The sequence below is a fragment of the Homo sapiens genome, chromosome 13 (assembly GCF_000001405.40).
Source record: "Homo sapiens chromosome 13, GRCh38.p14 Primary Assembly".
NCBI lineage: Eukaryota > Metazoa > Chordata > Mammalia > Primates > Hominidae > Homo > Homo sapiens.
Window position 1 is genome coordinate 97,250,245 of NC_000013.11, and position 20,587 is coordinate 97,270,831.

The 20,587-nt window shown below is 41.7% G+C and overlaps 1 protein-coding gene and 1 long non-coding RNA gene across 56 annotated transcripts in view; one reads left to right on the top strand and one right to left on the bottom strand.

Moving 5' to 3' along the window:
* Positions 1-20,587, top strand: part of MBNL2 (muscleblind like splicing regulator 2) — a 252,287-nt gene that overhangs the window by 108,411 nt on the left and 123,289 nt on the right. For 2 of the 55 annotated variants that reach the window (NM_001382660.1, NM_001382663.1), the window contains exon 2: positions 18,043-18,312. The exons of 51 other annotated variants lie outside the window; for them this stretch is intronic. The gene's annotated coding sequence lies outside the window, so the exon portion shown is untranslated. Of the gene's footprint in view, positions 1-17,242; positions 17,381-18,042; positions 18,313-20,587 lie in introns of all 55 variants that reach the window. 2 more of the 55 variants (NM_001382668.1, NM_001382680.1) reach the window with 2 other exon arrangements.
* LOC101927385 (uncharacterized) overlaps positions 1-20,587 on the bottom strand; it is a 55,360-nt gene that overhangs the window by 7,391 nt on the left and 27,382 nt on the right. The window lies entirely within an intron of this gene.

The window sequence follows — 20,587 nt, forward strand, 5'->3', positions numbered from 1 at the left end:
TTTCAGGTATATTCTCCAGCTCATTGGTTCTATTTTATTTGCTGACAGTGCACTTTACTGCATCAAATTCAGGTTTTAATTCTGCTGTTGAGATGTTGGTTTCCTCTCATTCCTTTCTTATGTCAACCAACTGCCACTTTTATTTCGGGCTGTCTCTTGGTCCCTTTTCAGCTCAGTCTGCCTTTTCCCCATCTTTACTGTTCTGTTGTATAAGTTCTTTAACAGGCATTGAGCTTACTCAAGAATGAAGTTCTTGAACTTCATTAAAAACATAAACCAAAATGCTCTCTTCAATTTTTTTTTTAATGATAAACCTTGAGCTCCCTTTCTGACCCTCCTTTTAGTATGCAGAATCTTTCCATCAGTCATTTTGGATTTTTGTTGCATGTTGAGCTATTCATTTGTTTGCTTTTTATTCATTCAATGATCTTGAAAGAAAAGAAGTCTGTCCAGGCTTGGCTTGTTTTTATTTAAGACAGAGCTGAGAAATCATTTTAGACAGCCTCACTTCCTGCCTGATATCATTACAATCCTCTCCTCCAACACTAAGTAGAAGGCTCCTTGATGGAAATTTGATTTAGCTCAGTGGTACAGCAGCTTCAAGATAGTATGGAGGGAGTTTTAGCCATGGTATATACAGCACAAGTATGTCATCTTTGCTGAGTTTCTTATTGTAAGGGGTTACTTCTCTCCAGCCAACTTTTTCTTTTCTTAACCTGGATGCCAAATATACAACTCAGCCAAGCCTCCTTGCCATTGCTATTTCCACTGCCCAGGAAGAAGAACTCTTGTACGGTCAGTTTTGGATTTGGTGCAGCTACTGGGCAGAACTTAGGAGTTTTCTGTAAAACTACTAGGAGCATGGAGACTTCAAGGCATGTGGCTGAGGGAATGGTTAATAGGTACAAAAATATGGTAATGTAGAATGCGTGAGATCTAGTATGTGATAGCACAACAGGGTTACTACAGTCAACAATTTATTATAGAGTTAAAAATAACTAAAGGGGTATAATTCGAATGTTTGTAACATGGAGAAAGGATAAATGCTTGAGGTGATGGCTACCCAATTTACCCTGATGTGATTATTACACATTGCATGCCTGTATCAAAGTATCTCATGTACCCCATAAATAGATACACCTACTATGTACCCACAAAAATTAAAAACTAAAGAAAAAGACATAGCTGATACACTTTCTTAACCCTGCTTTAAGTTTTCTTTTTGCTGGAGATTAATAGGTAAAGTCAGATAGCTACTTGTGCTCAAGTGGATGTTGCACAAAAAAGTCAGAAGCTATTAGTAAACACGCACTGAAGTGTTTAAAGATTTATTTTTGTTGTTGTTATTCTTCTTTGCATTGTTTTGTATTGTTAGAAGGACTTGTATGTCTATTATCCATGAAAGATTCTTTTTCCCTTTGTGGATTATATTTTTAATTAGATCAATTGGTGAATCGATTGGTGAATAGAGCAAGTTGAGTTTATAAATAAATTTATTCTTTATTTTCCTTAACTTTTCAAACAATACTTACTGAAGAATAAGGCATCCTTTCTCCATGTGTGATATTTATTATCTTGTATCCTCAATTCTTTTTTTTTTTTTTTTTTTTTTTTTTTGAGACGGAGTCTCGCTCCGTCGCCCAGGCCGGACTGCGGACTGCAGTGGCGCAATCTCGGCTCACTGCAAGCTCCGCTTCCCGGGTTCACGCCATTCTCCTGCCTCAGCCTCCCGAGTAGCTGGGACTACAGGCGCCCGCCACCGCGCCCGGCTAATTTTTTGTATTTTTAGTAGAGACGGGGTTTCACCTTGTTAGCCAGGATGGTCTCGATCTCCTGACCTCATGATCCACCCGCCTCGGCCTCCCAAAGTGCTGGGATTACAGGCGTGAGCCACCGCGCCCGGCCGTATCCTCAATTCTTATATATACTGGGATCTCTTTCAAGAAATTATTAGTAAATTTCATTGATTTTTCTGTCTATTCTTTCCATAATAACAAATTGTTTTAATTGTTTTAGATTAATAGTACATGTATCCAGATATACCAAAGCCAATCCCATAAATTGTGATTCTTTTCAGGAATTTATGTTCTGTCCTCATCTGCTGTTGCTTCCAGAGATATGCCACAATCATTTTTCAGGTTCTTCCCCATACCCATACAGCCTCCCCAACAATAAAAAATCCCTTTGAGGTTTTATTAAAATAGGATTAAATCTACAAATTAATTTAGTAAGAACTAATATTTTTAGATGACAAGAATCTACAAATATCTTTCAATTATATTCAAATATTATTTTACATCTCTAAGTAAATTTTGTTAATTTTTTTGCTTGTCCAATACATTTTCAGTTAGCATTATTTCAAGCTGTCTTATTTTTATAAAGTTATTATAAATGAAATATTTTTCTATTATATATTCTACTTGATTATTGCTAGAAAACAAGAAAATTATTGGTTCCATTTAATTTTATTTAGTTATCTCATTTCTGGCAACTTAACTGAACTCACTTTTTCCTTGTGAGAACTAAATTTAATTCTCTTGAATTTTCTGGCTATATAATCATATCATCTGAAGATAATGATAACATTTTCTCCTCTTTTCCAGTAGCTATGCCATATATTACTGTTACATGTTAATGCATTGGCTGCACCATTTCTTGACTTTTTGAAAATTTCGAACAGCTTCTTTTCTGAAAATTCTCAAAAATAAATGGTTAGTGACAGAGGTCTCTCTCTATTTTACATCTTGTTGTGAATATGAGTTTCCCACTGGGAATTTTAAACTAATTATAGCAACCAGCAGCAGATTTTTCATCTTGCTAACTGAAATCTGAGACACTCAAGCATCTCATAAATATCAGTTTTATGATATTAAAAACAAAGTTCAGGATAGTACATTTAAGACTAATTACACATCAGTTTCCTGCTGGCATAGAAAATACAAATTGATATATACATTTAAAATAAAGATAACCAACTTGGTTTGCTTTGTTTCATCTATCCATCCATATATCCATTTATCTACTGAACAAATATTTATTAAACTCTGTGCTTGAAGCAAAGAAATGAAAAAGTATAGTCCCAACCCTACAGAATCTCATCCTAGCCTTATTAGGGATGCATAGTTCTGCTCATATAATTGTGCCCCAAATGTTCATGGCTTGAATAGATGATATCAAGTGAAAATGTATATACTTATTAAGTTCTTATTATATTCTAATTATACGCTCCTGAGTTAAAATTTGATCCTTTGAGATAGACACACCTGTGGCAGGTGAGTAAAAACAAATATCACTTGTGGATCCTTTTCATTCATTACCAAAGCCCTCTCCAGTTTCTTGTATTCTTATCAAGGTTTCTCAGATGAGGAAAGTTGGGAAGAATGCAGGAAAATTAAACATGTTTCAAATTTACTAGTTTTATCACTCATATAAAAAATTCTTTAGTTAATTCTCTTTGTAAAATAGCAATACACAAAACTTCTCATTTGAGACAGTAACATTGTATTTATTAATACGTATTAATTTATTAATACGTATTAATAAGTTCTTATTAATACTTATTACAATACAATGTTATATTGTGTAATGTTCTTTGGGCATTTACATTCCAGGAATGTGCTGAATTTTTTTTTTTAGGAATTTTCAATACAATTTTTATTTATTTGTTTTTGAGACAGAGTCTCACTCTGTTGCCCAGTACAGTGGCATGATCTTCGCTCACTGCAACCTCCGCCTCCTGGGTTCAAGCGATTCTCCTGCCTCAGCCTTCCAAATAGCTGGGATTACAGTCACGCACCACCATGCCCAACTAATTTTTGTATATTTAGTAGAGACAGGGTTTCGCCATGGTGGCCAGGCTTGTCTTGAACTGACCTCAGGTGATCTGCCTCCCTCGGCCTTCCAAAGTGCTGGGATTACAGGCATAAGCCACCATGCCCAGCCCAATGCAAATTTTTAAAATATGTAAAATTTTAACTATTAAATGCTGCTGAGTAAGAAGCATTTAGATATTTAGATTAAAATGTTATAACACTGAATAGTTTCCAAATGTGAAATGTTAATATTTCTTTCTCTTTGAAAAATAAACTATAACTTACACATAAAAATCTAAAATATAATTATTTTCAATTTTTGAAGCATGATAAGGGATTTTGATGCATTATGATTGAAAAGTATTTATCAATATTCTGAAAATAGCTCATGAAAATTTTGACTGTGAAAGTTTCAATTTAAACAAAATCCAGTGTTATTAACTTCCTCTGTCTCTAAAATGTCCACTGAAAGGCATTTGCCTCTATTCAGAAATTTTTAGAAATCTAAACATCTGATTTTAACTTCTGCGTTGACTTCTTTTGACCCTAAACCTACCCACCCCTCCACTGTTCCCCCCGCCTCTCTTTTATATGGGATCATAGGGATCGTAGGGATATGAGACCCTCTAAACTTCCAAATTTGCTTTTTAATTACTGTAGTATTTTCAGCTATAGCATAAATTTTTAACAAAAACGGTCAATGTGATGGATTTCTCAAGGCAAGATTGAGTCTTGTCAAATATGAGCAAACACGACTGAAACCCAATAGATGCTACTTTTCAGCAGCAGGAACAGCCCAGGTACTCTTGGGTGGCCCTGATTTCAAGCAAATAAATCAGTATTTCCAGCCGCAAAGGTGACACTAAAGCCAGAGCATACATCATGACCATTTCAGGCATTTAGATGTGGAGAAGTATTATTTTCTTCTCCAACAAGGGTGAGTGATTCAGATGAAATCATCAACCTTAATGAACCTGTGCTTCTGCTGCAGGGTTAACAAACCAAACCCCAATGAGTCACAAGCAGCTCCCTAAGGATCCCTCCAACTGCGAGGCAGGAAACATGATTCTTGGCATGTCCAAGGTAGAAAGCACCTTGGAGACCCTGCTGTTCACTATCTCAAGTTTTTCCACTGAAGCACCCTTAGAGCAGAGCAGAGTTAGAAGAACTGACAGAAGAAATCTGCTTAATTATCTAAAAAAGTCTTCTAAATCTTTCCTTCTACTCTATTGTATATCTTTGCTCTAATATAAAAAACACATTTTAAATTGCATACCACTTCAATTATTTGACTTTTCTGTTTAACCCTCATCAAGTTTTTAAGTAAAATGAATGCTTTCCTAGACTGCACTATGTTTTCCTTGGGCCACGTAGCCACTCACGTCTGAGTATGAAGACTGCAGCTTGGTCCAGAGTCGTCTTTTAGGATTGGGTAGACTGAGGACTGGACAGGAATTGTGACTTACTCTAAATCTCCCAGCTAGCATGTGACTGTGCAGGAACTAACACTCAATCCTTCTAACTCCCAGACTTACCCATTTTCAAATAAACAATTAGGCAATGAGGCTACCCGTAGATGGCAGCCAAATGTATTTCAGAGAGCCTTCACTTTTTACATTTTCCCACTTTGCAAATAGGAAAGCTGGTTGATCTTTTATTCAAGAAACTGTTTAGGACCTCATGTGCTGTGTTTAGATATAACACAGGAAGGGGAGGGCTGAGCCAATTATCCGTGAAGCATCCATAATCTACCTACTGACTTGCACATCCACTCACTCTTGGTAACTAAAGTGCTTCCCTTTCTAAAGAAAACCACTGGGGAAGCCAAAAGCATCAGCTAAGATAGATAACTGTGAGCATGATCGTTTAGGAATGGATATGGTTTGAACTTATTCATGTTTAGAGAGAGTGTCAAATTGAGAACTAGGCAGATTCACCTACTCTACAAATGACTCTGAAGCAAATTGGTTGAAGAAATTAGATCTGAAAGATTCTTGGTGGAGAATTTTGAACTTTTATCAGTATATCCATATTTAAAAGGAGATAAAAGAAGACAAAATAAAAAAAATTATTGCAAGGCTGACAGAACAGTTGGATTAAACATCAGTTCAATTAAAAAGGACTAACAGATAAATCTTTTGAAGATAAATTTTGACTCCAGTTCTTTAGAGAAACTAAGGTGACCTTGATGGGCAGTGGAAAGAATCATGACATGTGAAATTCCTTGAATAAAAATTTATTGACTTTAAGTAAAAAAAAAAACTGCCAGCTTGGGACATGGATTTTTTTTAATCAATTTTTTTTTTTAAATATTGGAACTACTATTTGTGAAGCTGGGTGGAACCTTGGAATGCCTGTTAGTAGGCTTGCTGGGAAATTGGTTATAGCAACCAGCATAGTAAAGAACTCATAGTCAGACGTAATAAATATTTGCTGCTGATGAGTCATTCGTACTGGAAAAAGTGAAGCAGACAGGAATATCTCCGCCAAATGCTGCAGGTTATCAGAGTGGCCTTAACCAAAATTTCCATGAGTAATGTTGCAATCTTCTTACCATGGCTTGGTAAGACCTCCAGGAATGATAATGCCTTATACGAGTGTTCTGTTTTAAGTCCTCCAAATCTTCCATAGACAGTATGTAGATAGAATCTCAGGACAACCTGGTAGAGAGGAGGAAACTGAAGTTTTGAGTTCATTGGCTTGCCCGAGGGTATAGGGTTGTATAAGCTGTTTCTTTTGATTCTTAGCAGTGTGGATTCAAGTAAGCAATCATTTCTCATTTAGAGGCACACTTTCGTTAAATGCTAAGTAAGTCATTTTGATTACCACCAACAAGACACATTTCAGTAAGCAGAACATCATTCACATCTGCACATACAGAGGGTTTCATTGTAATCATAAAAATTGTTTTGCATTTATTTCATCGTTAGTTAAAAAGAGACTGTATTGGCAAAATAATACTTTAAATCGGAAAGCATTACTGCATGGCCAATTTGCTTTTTCATGCATGCCTTTTGGTGATTGGAATATGCAGAGAGCATGAATAGGTAACCCTGTGATAATCTGCATACCAGTAAAAGGTATTATTCAGACCCTACCTTTTTTTTTTTTTTCTTCCTCATTTTATCTTGTCAGGTTGGGTTTGATTCAAAGTCATTGGTTCTCTTAGAGAAGGAGGTCAGACCAGTTTAAGGAACAAGGAGCAGGAGAAGAGCAATTGAAGCCTGCACGTAGGAACTCAGATGATAAAATCGTTTTGGAAAATAATGAACAAGTAACTTGAGAGCTTGTCTTGAGGGTGGTATCACAGGTTAGGCCAGGTTATTAATTTTCCTACTCAGCAGTATGCCTCTTAAAAAACACTTACAGGGAAATGGATATGTTTTTGAAAGAAATGCAATTGGCAGAAGGGAATGACGGAACTGCATGGAGTCCACAGGCCAGTGGACCTGGGAGAGCAAAACTACTTCCATGTAAATAAGAATTGCATAACTGAGAAAATACCCAAAAGATACAGCTAACAGGACAGTGTTTAGTACACCAAAGTCGATGTCTCAAGATTTCTTGGTTCATCTTTATGATGCCAAAGCACACACCCTCTACCTCGTTTGTTTCAGTCACCCTGGGTTCTTGTTGGAATGGCCCAGGGAGCTCCATGTAAATCATGAGCACAGGCGCCTGTGCAGGGTGTGCTCCTCAGATTTTACATTTCACTCCTCCATTCACAGGATTTAGGGGGGCACTGGCCCATTCCTCAGCTTCCCCTTCCATAAAATGTGAAGAACCACGTGTGCATCTCAGAAGTTGCTCGCGCCCAAGGGCAGATCAGTGACTGTGATTTCGCCTTTCTCCCCATTTCTCTGTTGCACTCCTCAAAGTGGTGGCCTGTTGTTACCATGGAGACACAGCACAGGGTGACCTTGCTTAGAAATGATGACAACTGGTGACGGCAGGGAAGCAGAGCCCAATAGTGACGAGCCTCTGAGGAGCGCCCCCCGTCTGGGAGGAGAGGAAACAGAAGGATCTGTTCCCAAGTAAAGGAAGGGGCGGTAGGATGCAGGATTTCATGAGTCCTGCCTGATGCATTTAGCAATAACATTACCTAATAACTCGTGGTGTCACATTTTTACAGAAGATATGCTTTGTTGCCAGGGTTTTTTTTTTTTAATTCCTCTGAACTGGAGGCTTTAAACACAGTAAATATTTGTTGTTGATTTCAATACCTAGCAGTTAGCTTAATTTCCTGAAAGATAAGAGGAATTGTTGACTCATTCATTTCTGTAGGCTACTTCATACTTGTGGTTTGAGTCATTGCTCATCGATGGCGATTTTTAGAAGTATGGCAGTACTTTCTTTCTTTCTTTCTTTTTTACTTCTAGGATGAAAGTAATAACAACAAAACAAAATCTTGTTTTAATAAATTACCCTCTTCCTGTTCCTAGATTACTGGGTTCTGCTTTTTCTGCTGAAGTCAAATAGTGGAAATTATATTTTGTTAAATATTAATAAAACCCCATCACCTGTGTGTGAGATCCTGCTGCTATCTTTCCCACAGTGTTCAAGTAAGTGACTAGCATTCTGTGTCCTTCTGAGGTCTTCTGAACCCTTGGATCCTCCAAGCCACATATCCCATATCAGGTTCTGTGCTAGAATAATTGGTTTCTGCAAAAATAGTGGGATGGGGCTGGATGTGGAAAGAGTTTGGACAACTGGATGGCTCTTTCTGGTAGATTATCTCCGGCATAGGATCAATAGCCAGATCACAGATCTTAGGAAGGAGACCTGTGGCCACTGCCTCAAGGGCTCAGGCCAGAGGAAGGCCTGCTCTCTGTGACCTGAGTTCAGACATATGTTAACCCCCCAGGCCAGAGGAAGGCCTGCTCTCTCTGGCCTGACTTCGAGATATGTTAACCCCCAGAGTATGCAATGCTGAAGGTTCATGTGACTCAAAAATGCAGTCTTTCCTTGTGAGAGAATACCAGAGCCAAGGAATGGGGCCTCTTGGAGCTTAGCCTTAATGAGAATCATGTTCACATCTTCTCAGACTCTGAGCAATCTTTTCTGCTGATGGCCTTCAGGACCCAGCACTGCCCCCATTCAAGTTAGAGACCCTTTTCTAGGTCCAGGACCGCAGTATCTCCCACCACCACATCATGAAGACTGGGCTTGGGTGTGCTGGTGAAGTCTTGGTGCACAGTGGCATTCTCTATATATTCTGTGCTAGGAGAAGAGAACATGTAAAGAAGAAGAATAAAACCTCTGGGGCACCAAGTCCCCCAGCTTTTGTCCTTTTCACAGTCCGGGGCATAAGCATTCCAAATCTACCTCCCCAGTCCTCTTCACCCCTGCACCGACTCCTCAAGGCGCTGAGTGCTACAGGCAGAACCTGCCACCTTTTCACCCTCCCTGAATCCCCTTTTGTGCTCCCTCCTTGGTTCTGGACTTGGGAGCAGGAAGAAAATGGGCTCCATGCATGTCCCCCTTCCCCCGATTCAGATGCTCCTTTTAGATCCCACGGCTCAAAAGGCCTGCTGACAAATCTAGGCCAAACTCAGCCGAGCTGGTAAGATTTCCAGAAGAGTTCCTAAAAATACACTTCTCCTTAAATCAGCCTTGCCAATCACTGTACAATCACAGAACTTTAAGGACAGAAGTGGCTCTAGAAATTGTTGGGGCCTCTCTGTTTTAAAGCTAAGAAACTGGAGTCCTAGCGTGCTGAAATAATAGCAACAACAGCGGTTGAGAAAGATTTCAAATCCCATCGAGAAGATGGAACAGAGCAAACCATGAAGGCGGGCACAGACTGTAAGCTCTGTGGCGTATTCATTCATTTATTTGCTCATTCATTCACTTGCTCACTCAGCAAATATCTATTCACTGCTCACTGTGTTCTAAAGTTAAATGTTGCCCTAGATGTTAAGGATACAGACAGACCATCCCCTTACAGACATTACAGTCTGGTTGAGAGAGAAAATGCACAGATAAACAAGTATGCATGTGAGTGTTAAATAATGATAAGGACTTTGGAGGGAAATAAAGCACGGTGAGTCAGAGTAAGGAGGTAAGACTGATGCAATATTACATCAGGAAAGACTGCCCCATAGGCTGACCTCCAAGCTATGTGACTATCTGGGACAAAAGTATTCCCAGCAGAGGGAACAGCGAGGTCAAAGCTCTAAGGCAGGATGTCCCTGGCTACTGAAGGAGCAGTCAAAGGCCAGGATGGTTGGGGGGAGTCAGAAAGTATGGGGCCAGTCACCGAGGTCAGTGTAGGCCGTCAGAAGACTCTTGACAGTCCCGCTCTGTGAGGTGGGGAGCCATTGGAGGTTCCTGGGCAGAAATGTGACATGATCTGATTACATTTTCAAAGAGTCCCTCAGGATGATTTATTGAGATGTGGCTGCAGTGCGGCAAGGGTAGAGGCATCAGTAGACTGGTGAGGAGGCTTTGCACTCATGTTGTGAGAGAGAATGCTGGCTCCAAGGCAGGGGCCAAGTGCAGCTGGTGAGAAGTGGTCAGACTCTGGCGCCGTTAGGAATGTGGATCCAGAGGCATCTGCCATTGGATCAGATGTAGGGTATCGGAGAGAGGGAGGAGGGGAGAAAGAAAGAACACAAATGTCACTGTCTAGTGGGTTTTAAAGCCATAAAACTGTACAAAAGAGTGCATTTGAAGCCATAAAACCACACAAGAGAGTGGTTAAACAGAGGCCTGGTGGATTTTGCAGCCAAACTGCCTGTGTTCCAGCCATTCCTTCTCCTCTCCACCTTCCCCATCCACAGATATGCTAACCTCCTTATTTTTTTTTTAAATTAGCACAGGCCACCAGGCATAAACCCTTGGATCACTCTCATCTTTATTTTCTTTCCCTTTAAAAACATTATCTCAAACACTTCTCAGTAAGTGTTTGTTCTGAGCTCTTCGAGGGTGTTGTCTTGCCAATGAAGATGCTAACCCCATCCCAGTAATCTATCAGTTGGCTCCCCACACTGCTTCCTCCAACACTGTCCAGCACCTGCCTTTTTCTTCTCCTTGATACCTGTGTGCATTCTTACTGCACCTTCTCTGCAGCTATTCATTCCGATAGAAAGGAAGCCCCCGGCTCTTCCCTCCTGTGCACAGCACATGTGATTATGATGTGCTGAGCCCATGATGGATACAAACCCTCTTGGTGGGGAGTATCAGCGATGCCCACTTCTGACATCATTCACTGCTGCCACTTGGCATGTTCACACTCACACACATGCACACACATCAAGAAATTTAACGATACACTCAGAAACAAATTGCAAGATCACAGATAAAATTTCCACCCAGGAGAGAACAGCCCTTTTATCCACCTCCTCAACTGCCGTCACCTCCATGTGTACTAGCCTCATACCTCAGGCCTTTTTGTTCTTTTAAATTGTCCCATCTCCAAGACCTTGACCTTTGAAATTTGGCAGCACCCTTTTTCTGCCTCTGCTTTCCACTGGCCAAGGGTAGATGGAGACAGCATAACCATTCATCTCAGAATAAATTAACGCTCTTTCGCTGAAGTTGTGCCTCCTGGGCCACTTGAGATTCCCTGCCTTTCTCTTTCCCTGCCATCTTCTGTAACTGCCCACCAAAGATTTCCCACACTTCAGGCACTGGCTGGAAGGCCCCAGCACCACTTTTGCAGCAGGTAAAACAGCTCTGATTTGACTGAGACGATAAAGGCTGCAGGACTGAAGCTGCCCTGGTTTCATTTCCTGCTGTCTAGCCAGGCTGCATCCCTCACTTCCCACCTTCTGTGGGTCCTGTGAGTGTGAAATGAGTGTCTCGTTTCCTCGCTGAGGCTGGGCCTCCATGACAGCCAGCCACCCTGTCCTTCCCCCTTCTTGAGGCCAGTGGCCGCACGCTGGCCCATACCTCTACCTTGCCATCTCCCCAAGCTCTTGTCCTGTTTTTCTCCTTCCATTAAAATGAAAGAAACGTGGGAAGGGTCAGGGGAGAAGCAGGTGGTCTCCCACCCTCCCAGGGGCTTCAGAGAGTGCACCCTTAAAACTCTCTTTACAAACCTGAGGTTCCAAAAGGGTAGCTGCTCAGGATCCCGCAGGCACCAAAGCATCTCTGACTTCAGAGCAGAGAGTGCAATCCCTGCCTTGCCGCCACACTGTTCTTGCAGCAGCAAGTGCTCCAAATTCTCCAGGCACTGAGTGCCTCCTTCCCCAGCTCCAACAGCGTCATGTCACAGAAACCACCCCCTTGAAAGCCAGCAGGGACTTCCCCTTCGTGACACCTAGCCACCACAAATTGTCCACATGCCTTGATCTCTCCGTGGCAGTGGCAGTGGACGCTTTTCGCTACTCCCTCCTCTTGAAACTCTGAACCTTTCTCCCTCACTGTTGCATTATTGGAAGGATCTTTTGTCGCTTTCTTTTTCTGTGGTTTGCCTTACTCCTCTTCCTTCTTTCACCTCCAAATCACTAAAGAAACTGTTCTTGATCCAGTCCAAGCCTTCCTGTTTTCTGTCCTAGATGTATACAAATAAATCCCTTCTCCCTCTCTTATTTTTGCCATTCCATGGTTTTAGCAGTCATTTCCATGGCCATGAACTCCAACTCTGGATCCATGCCCATCACTTCTATACCCGTTTCTAGCTGCCTTCTGCTTTCTCCTGGGCAGAGCTTTGATGTCCTTCTGCACACACAGGACCCACATTTTGAAGTCCTCCCTCGCTTTTTTTTTTAATAATTTTTTTTGAGACAGAATCTCGCTCTGTCCCCAGACTGGAGTGCAGTGGCACGATCTCAGCTCACTGCAACCTCTGCCTCCTGGGTTCAAGCAATTCTCCTGCTTCCGCCTCCCAAGTAGCTGGGATTACAGGCATGCATCACCACGCCAAGCTAATTTTTGCTTCTTTTAAAATTTATTTTATTTTATTTTTTTGGTAGAGTAGTTTCACCACGTTGCCCAGGCTGGTCTTGAACTCCTGAGGTCGGGTGATCCACTCGCCTCGGCCTCCCAAAGTGCTGGGATTACAGGCTTGAGCTGCCACGCTCGACCTTGAAGTCCGTTTTGATCCATCTATTTCCTACACGCCTCATTCCCAATCCCCAAAGATGAATTTGCTTCTAATGAATTGACCTCAGCAGTAACACCTCCGTTTTGTTCTCACCACTGCAGTGTAATTTTTGACCTTTCTGCTCTACCATGGCTGTAACCTTTAACCAATTTCCCCTCCCCTGCCAACCTTTTCAATTCTAATGTATCCTAGGTGGTGCTTCCAGAAAGAGCTTCCTCCAGCTGGGAATCTTGTCAAGATCCTGCCAGTGTTCCCCACTGTCTACTATACTAACTATGCTGATGTGTTACACCTGGGCCTACTTAGTGATACTTAGGCAGACAAAGCCCCTATGTCACTATTCATAATGAGGACCACACTACCCTGAGGGACATGGTGGAAACTTAAAGGACCATTTTTAAAAAAATTGTCCAAATGCCTGGGGGGCATCTCTGGAATTTAATGGACAGGAGTACAGGATTTTGATGTCTTGCAATGGACGTGACTCCCTTGGAGCGAGGAACCAGCCTGTACCTCTGTTGTTATTTATTGAGACGGAGTCTTACTCTGTCACCCAGGCTGGAGTGCGGTGGTGCTATCTCTGCTCACTGCAAGCTCTGCCTCCTGGGTTCAAGTGATTCTTCTGCCTCAGCCTCCCAAGTAGCTGGGATTACAGGTGTGCACTACCACACCCAGTTAATTTTTGTATTTTTAGTAGAGACGGGATTTCATCATGTTGGCCAAGATGGTCTCGAACTCCTGACCTCAGGTGATCTGCCCGCCTCGGCCTCCGAAAGTGCTCGGATTACAGGTGTGAGGCACTGTGCCCAGCCTTACTTTTATTTTTTTAATTATTAGACAGTTGTAGTATAATCGAATTTTTCAAGAATGCAACAACTGTGTAAACTGAGAGAAGATTATTCTTTTTCTTTTTTTTTTTTTTTGAGATGGAGTCTCGCTCTGTCACCCAGGCGGGAGTGCACTGATGCAATCTCGACTCACTGCAACCTCTGCCTCCCGAGTAGCTGGGGCTCGGGACCTCATGCCATTCTCCTGCCTCAGCCTCCCGAGTAGCTGGGACTACAGGTTCCCGCCACCACGCCCAGCTAATTTTTTGTATTTTTAGTAGAGATGGAGTTTCACCGTGTTAGCCAGGATGGTCTCCATCTCCTAACCTTGTGATCCACCCGCCTCGGCCTCCCAAAGTGCTGGGATTACAGGCTTGAGCCACTGTGCCCGGCAGAGAAGATTATTATTTAACTTGTTAGGAACTTCATCAGAAATTATTCAGCAATTTGATAAGCCATGCCTTTTATCAAACCTGTGTCAGTCTACATTTGTACCCGTTACATTCATTACAGTGCTGCAAACAAACAGGTGACAGCTTCTGACACTTCATTCTGTCTTCTAATATGCTTGTGCCTTAGCATCAAAATTTTAAAATACATATTATTTATTGTATAAAGTAGCTTTCTGTTGATATGTAAATTACAGTATTTATAGTTATGGCAATATATTGATTTTGTTTTTAAAGTGTGTCTGTTGGTTACACTATGATTTTCATTTGGTGATAATAAAAGTTGTGTTACAAACATTTTGTCAAAAAAGGGGTTATTAGTATTTATAGGTAGGTGTACAGGCCAATGAAATGGCCATTAGGCTGGTCACTGGAGAGAGAGAAAAAGACAAAGGTCAGCTGAAAGTGGTTCTGTCCACCCAAGGCTATGGCCGGGGAAGGAAATGGAAGTTCTAACAAAGAGTTCTCTGGGAATTCAGGGCTAGATTTCAGCTGACAGATCGATCATTGTTCTGTCTGGCTACAGCCATTGGTTCCTGGACATCCAGGAAACCGGTAAGTGCAATGCAGTTTTCAATGGTCTCTAATACAATTGCTTTTATTTCTAATAAGAGCATCTCCTAACTGAATTATAAATATTTGGATAGAAAACACAGATGCAGTGAAAAACATAATTTGAATACAAATACGTGTTGAATAGATTACATCTGGCTGTAGTTTCAAGAATATATTTAGAAATTTTCACTCTTTGAATTGAGGATGTGATTTCTTTCTCTACCCATTCCTGGAAATGGCAATGAAAAGAGATTGGAAATTTTTGCATGTTAAAATGAGCCCTGGATTTTATGACTTTTTCACTTGTACTTTAAGACATAAGATACATGAAAAAAAAGTTGGAAATTTCTCCTTTTGTTATTTTTATCATAAAACAAAGGTTGGCTTATCTGAGTCATTGAATGGCCTTGGGTAACCCTATGTTTTATTTCCCTTATATTAATATATCTGAAAGTATGTTCCAGAGGACAAAATACCATGTAAAATGAAGATATCATTGTCAGACACGGTTCTTTCTCTAGTTAGAAAGAATGAAAGTTTGGAGTTAGTTTTAGAAGACAGTCTATCAAGGGCGTGTCCAACTCACATGCTAGGCAGGACTTCATAGCTTGTACCTACCTTCAGAGAAAGAGCCTTTCTACTTTCTTTTACTTATACTTCGTTGACTTTGGAGAAAATAACTTTTAGTAAAAAAGTTATTTCCACCTGTCATTTTTGTGTGTGCGTGTGTGTGTACATGCATGTGGATGTCTCAAGAACTAATGTTGATACAGATTAGGTACCACATAGAGATTATTGATAGTATACTACTAAATATATTTTGGTTGCAGTGCATGTATTTATGGCTTAAGTGTTACTATCCCTTTGAAGAAAAACAAGGAAAATGAAGCTCAGATAGAGCAGGTGACATCACACAGCTATTCAGAGGCAGAGAGAGTAGAGTCCAGGTTAGAAAAGCTGGTCTTGTCCTTCAACCAAGCAGAACATTCAAGGCACCATTTTATTTATATTTTCAATAAATTAGGCCGGGCACGGTGGCTCACCCTTGTAATCCCAGCACTTTGGGAGGCCGAGGTGGGTGGATGACTTGAGGTCAGAAGTTTGAGACCAGCCTGGCCAACATGGTGAAGCCCCTTCTCTACTAAAAATATGAAAATTAGCCAGGCTTGGTGGCAGGTGCCTGTAATCCCAACTACTTGGGGGGCCGAGGCAGGAGAATCACTTGAACCTGGGAGGCGGAGGTTGCAGTGAGCCGAGATTGTGCCACTGCACTCCAGCCTAGGCAACAGAGCAAGACTTCATCTCACGAAAAATAAATAAATAAATTAATTAATTAATTAAAACAAAACCAATTTAAAGGTATCTAAAAGAAAAACCATTAAAAGAAATCTCTTTTGCTACCTGCCTCAATGTTTTTCTTTGCGAAGTCAATCGAGTTCTCTATTCACTTGCATTTGCATCTCATTCACATCTGTGTTTCCCTTGGTTCACTGAGCTTCCTATGGGCAGGCCCCAGTTAGGAGCCTCTTCTCCGAGGCTGTGATTACAGGGCAGTCTTACACCCTCCTTCTGGAGATCAAGTGGCTCTCAGCCCCAGTCCTTCAGCTGGCAGCTCCTCCAGGGCCCTCTCCGCCCAGGCGTCTGCATCTGATAGGCTTAGGATGCGGCCAAGTCATCGATCAACAGAGAGAGCACATTGAGAGCTATTTTAAATTAGTCTCCAGAAATAGAGTGGGGACGCTCCAACATTGAGCCACTCACAGGAAGGAAACATTATTTTTTAAAAATATATATTTTAAGAATTTAAAAATTAAAAATAGGAAACTCAGAGATTCCGAAAATTAGAAATAGGAGAGTCAAGGAGACAAGGTTTCTTTCTTGTAATTAGATTTATATAAAAAGAATTAAAGGCATCCTATAAATTACTTAATGGATAATGAGTTCTTGACTGTCTGACTCAGAAATAGGCTTGTTTTGCAAAGATCCTTTAATCAGCTCCCTAGGAGGCCGATGTCTGGCAGGCAGCTAAAATATCATAGATGACCCGAAAGTAAACTGGAGGAACTGTGTGCTGCAGAATTATTTCCCTTAAGGTGGTCTGAAATTTTGATCAATCTCAGTCTCAACATTGGACATGACTGATGTTTTTCCCTTAAAAAATGTACAAACTATCTAGAAAGCAATGGCACGGAGGAGACACCTGGGGTCCACAGCCCCAGCTTGTCTGAGAGGCGTGGAATGGAGGGAGGTCGCCTCCTTGCAGAGTGAAAAGCCAGGCTTTCCAGACTCACCCTGCATAACTTAGCAGCTGCAAAAGAATGTGAGCGGCAAGTTCTTTTATACAGTCAAAAGTGAATGCTTTCTGAAAATCTAACACTTAGAAGAGTTCTTAAATACATTTTGAAAAATGAAGTGTCATGTAAGTAAAGACCCTAAAAATAGCTTGGGATTATTTTGTACAGTTGAACGGCACATCCTTTGGCATTTCAGGAAATACTACAGAACCTCGTTTCTTTCTTCTCGAACTTCAGTCTTGCCTTTTCTTTAAAGATGAGTCAAGCAGTGAACCTGGATATTCCTTAAATCACACGCCTTCTGGAGAGGATGGGGCACTACAAAGCAGCTCCTTCTGATGGCTGAGCTGCTGGTCATCAGGCCACTAGTCCCTTTAAAGTGGTCCTCTCTCAGGCAAGTGTCCGTAAAACAAGGCCGCACCCACCCCCTCTAGAAGGCTATGGGTCATTGTCTTTCCTAATTCTCACAGAAGGAAGTCTTAGCTGAAACAAATCTCTCAGGTGTTTTCTGTGAGTCTGGCTGTTTTGTTGTTTTGTTTTTATTGATCAGAAACAGCCGCTGGGGGCAGCCCGGCCAGCACTCTTACAATTGTTTCTAGGGAAATCAGTGAACTCAAAAGCCTGCAGGTAACTCCAGGTGGACATCTTTGTTCTTTTCAGCAAGCAGCAGGATGCCTGGCACACAGAAGGCAAGGAATGCTTCCGACAGGGGTTTTCAAGCTTGAGCCTGCATCAGCCGCCCCCTGGATGGCTTGTTAAAACACAGATTGCTCGTCCTCGTTGTCAGGGTATCTGATCCAGGACCTTGGTGGTGGGGCCTAAGAGTGTGCTTTTCTTTTTTCTTTCCTTCCTTCCTTCCTTCCTTCCTTCCTTTCTTTCTTTTGAGACAGCGTCGCTCTTGTCATCCAGGCTAGAGTGCAGTGGCACGATCTTGGCTCACTGCAACCTCTGCCTCCTGGGTTCAAGTGATTCTCATGTCTCAGCCTCCTGAATAGCTGGGATTACAGGCGTGCGCCACCATGCACGCCCGGCTAAATTTTTTTCTATTTTTTGTAGACATGGGGTTTCACCATGCTTTCCAGGCTGGTCTGGAACTCCTGACTTCAAATGATCCATCTGCCTCGGCCTCCCAAACGCTGGGATTACAGGTGTGAGCCACTGCGCCGGGCCGAGAGTGTGCATTCCTAACAAGATCCCAGCGGATGCTGCTGCTGCTGGCCCAGGCACAACACTTTAAAAACCGCTGGACTAAAGATCTGGGCATTGAGGCTCACGGTGTGCATCCCTGGGGCAGCTCCCAGCCTCAACCTACCTGGCAGCCGCAGGGTAAGCCAGTGGCATCTGCTGGAATTTTCCTACAGATAATACTGGAATTCCCCATTCAGAGCATTAGTCCTTTAGCTTAGACTTTGGTTCTTATTAAAATGCAAATATTCCTTGGAGGAGGATCAGGAGCTCATTCAACAAACATTTGTCCAGTATATTCTGCATACCAGGCACTGAACTGAACTCTGGGGATTCAAAAATAATAGGCAAAGTCTATCAGATACCTGAGGCAAACCCTGTAGGAGTTTACACTGTGGGGAGGCAGATGGAGAAATCAGTATTTACAGTTCTTGTGAATTAAGGAATAATGATACCTATTTAAAAATAATGACCAGGCAGTATTAAAGATGGGCTGTAGGAGAGGGTGTCAAAAGGGAAAGGACGAAGGAGGGGGCGCTGTTCCGGATGCAGGCCCGTGAGGAGGGCCTGCCGGAGGGTGGCTCAGCTGAACCTTCCTGGCAAGCTCATATCCTTTTCCAGGAGGTGGCTTAGAAAGGCAGGAAGTTTCTAAATGCCTGAGGAGAAAAAGGAGAGGGCCTGCCAGAGAAATAATCGGGGGCAACTACTCCCAAACATTGCCTAGGTTCTGCACTGGAAGGAGCTAATTAGGGTAGGATTGTTTGGGACATTGGAAATACAACCAAAAAAGTCAAAAGAAGTGAAAGAAATGGAAGCTAAAACACACCAGTGAGAGAGACTTACACAAAACTGGAAAATAATGTGGGCAGAGACCCTGTTCCCAGTGCAGCCTAGAAACTTCTGGGAAAGGCTAAGGGTGCCCTGCATATAATGGGGCAATGCCGTTATACATGGAATCTTGATGGAAATTTTCCTAATTTCCAAAATTGTGGAACGTCTGGAGGTGCCCTCTCCAGACATTATTAACAGGGGCACCTCTGGGCAGATGAACTTGAAATGCCACCCCTTCCTCCCTGCTCATCCAGGGCACTGTGAATGGAAAAGCAGCTGCATTTCCACCGTGCCCTCAGGGAAGCAGGCTCCCATTGGTGCTACCAGAGTATTCCAACCCTGCTTCCCACCCAGGGTGACTGTTGGCCCCAGAGGTGTTCCCTTCACTTTTGGGTGAACAGCAGCTGGAGGAAGAAAGCGGGCTTAAGGTTTTTGTAGTGACACTTGGAAAAACCTCTCTGAGGCTCCCTTTGGTTGCAAAATAAAGGCGGTGTGAGAAGTGAAGCCTTCTCCAGATAAGAGGTCCAGGTACTGCTATGCAGTCAGACCATTGATCTCTAGGCACCTCCCTGCTCTCAGACTCTGTGGCTGGAGCAGATCTACACCAGGTCTAATCCTGGTCATCATATGGAACTATCGTAGAGAGAGAGGAAGCCTGAAAGTAGATTTTGTTAATACAGATTGGTATAGTAACTTTTAAAAATCACAGAATACTTTTATATTTCCACTATAATCTGTCTTTCATGGCAGCAACCATGTACATACAGGCAGGAACTATTATCGACATTTAGATGAAGAAGGTGGGTCTCAAAGAAATTGACTTGCCCAAGGTTATGTGACGAGATACCTTGGCAAAGTGAAGGCTGGAAGCTAGTTCTTAGGACTTTCTATCACCCTGGAAGTTCTGTTGACTAATAGAAGAAATGCAAAAGCCCTTGAGACAGCACCGTCAGTAGCAATAGAATGTGAGCTACTTAGACAATTATGAATTTTTGAGTGGGAAAAGGAAGCAGGTGAGATCAATTTTAATATTTAACCCAATATATTAAAAATATTAATTCAGTATGTAATAACTATGAAACAATCTTAATAAGATATTTTCACATTCTTTTTTTTCTTACAAGGCATGTATTTTTGAATTCAGTGTGTATTTTCTACTTGGAGCACATCTGAATTTGGATGCTAAATTTTCATTGGCAGTACTCCATCTGTATGTAGGTTTCATAAAATTTAAAATTAAAAAAGTAAATTTATATACTCAACTTGGTCTAATCACACTAAAAAGTTTTCCAATGACTGAATCAAGGGTGAGTTTTTAAAATTTAAATTCATTAAGAATAAATAAAAATTTAAAATTTAGTTTCTCAGTTTCACTAGCCACAATTCAGGTGCTTGATTGATATGTTGCTGGTGATTTCTGCCTTGAACAGCACAGTCTAACACATGCCCCTTCCTCTCAGCAACTGGCAGGCTAGTAAGTCCAATATTCTATTACATCTATATGTTGGCATATCTCTCAGTCCCGTCTCTTGATGGCCATGCTGAAATGTGGTCTAGCCCATCCTTACCCTCCATTGCTCTTATC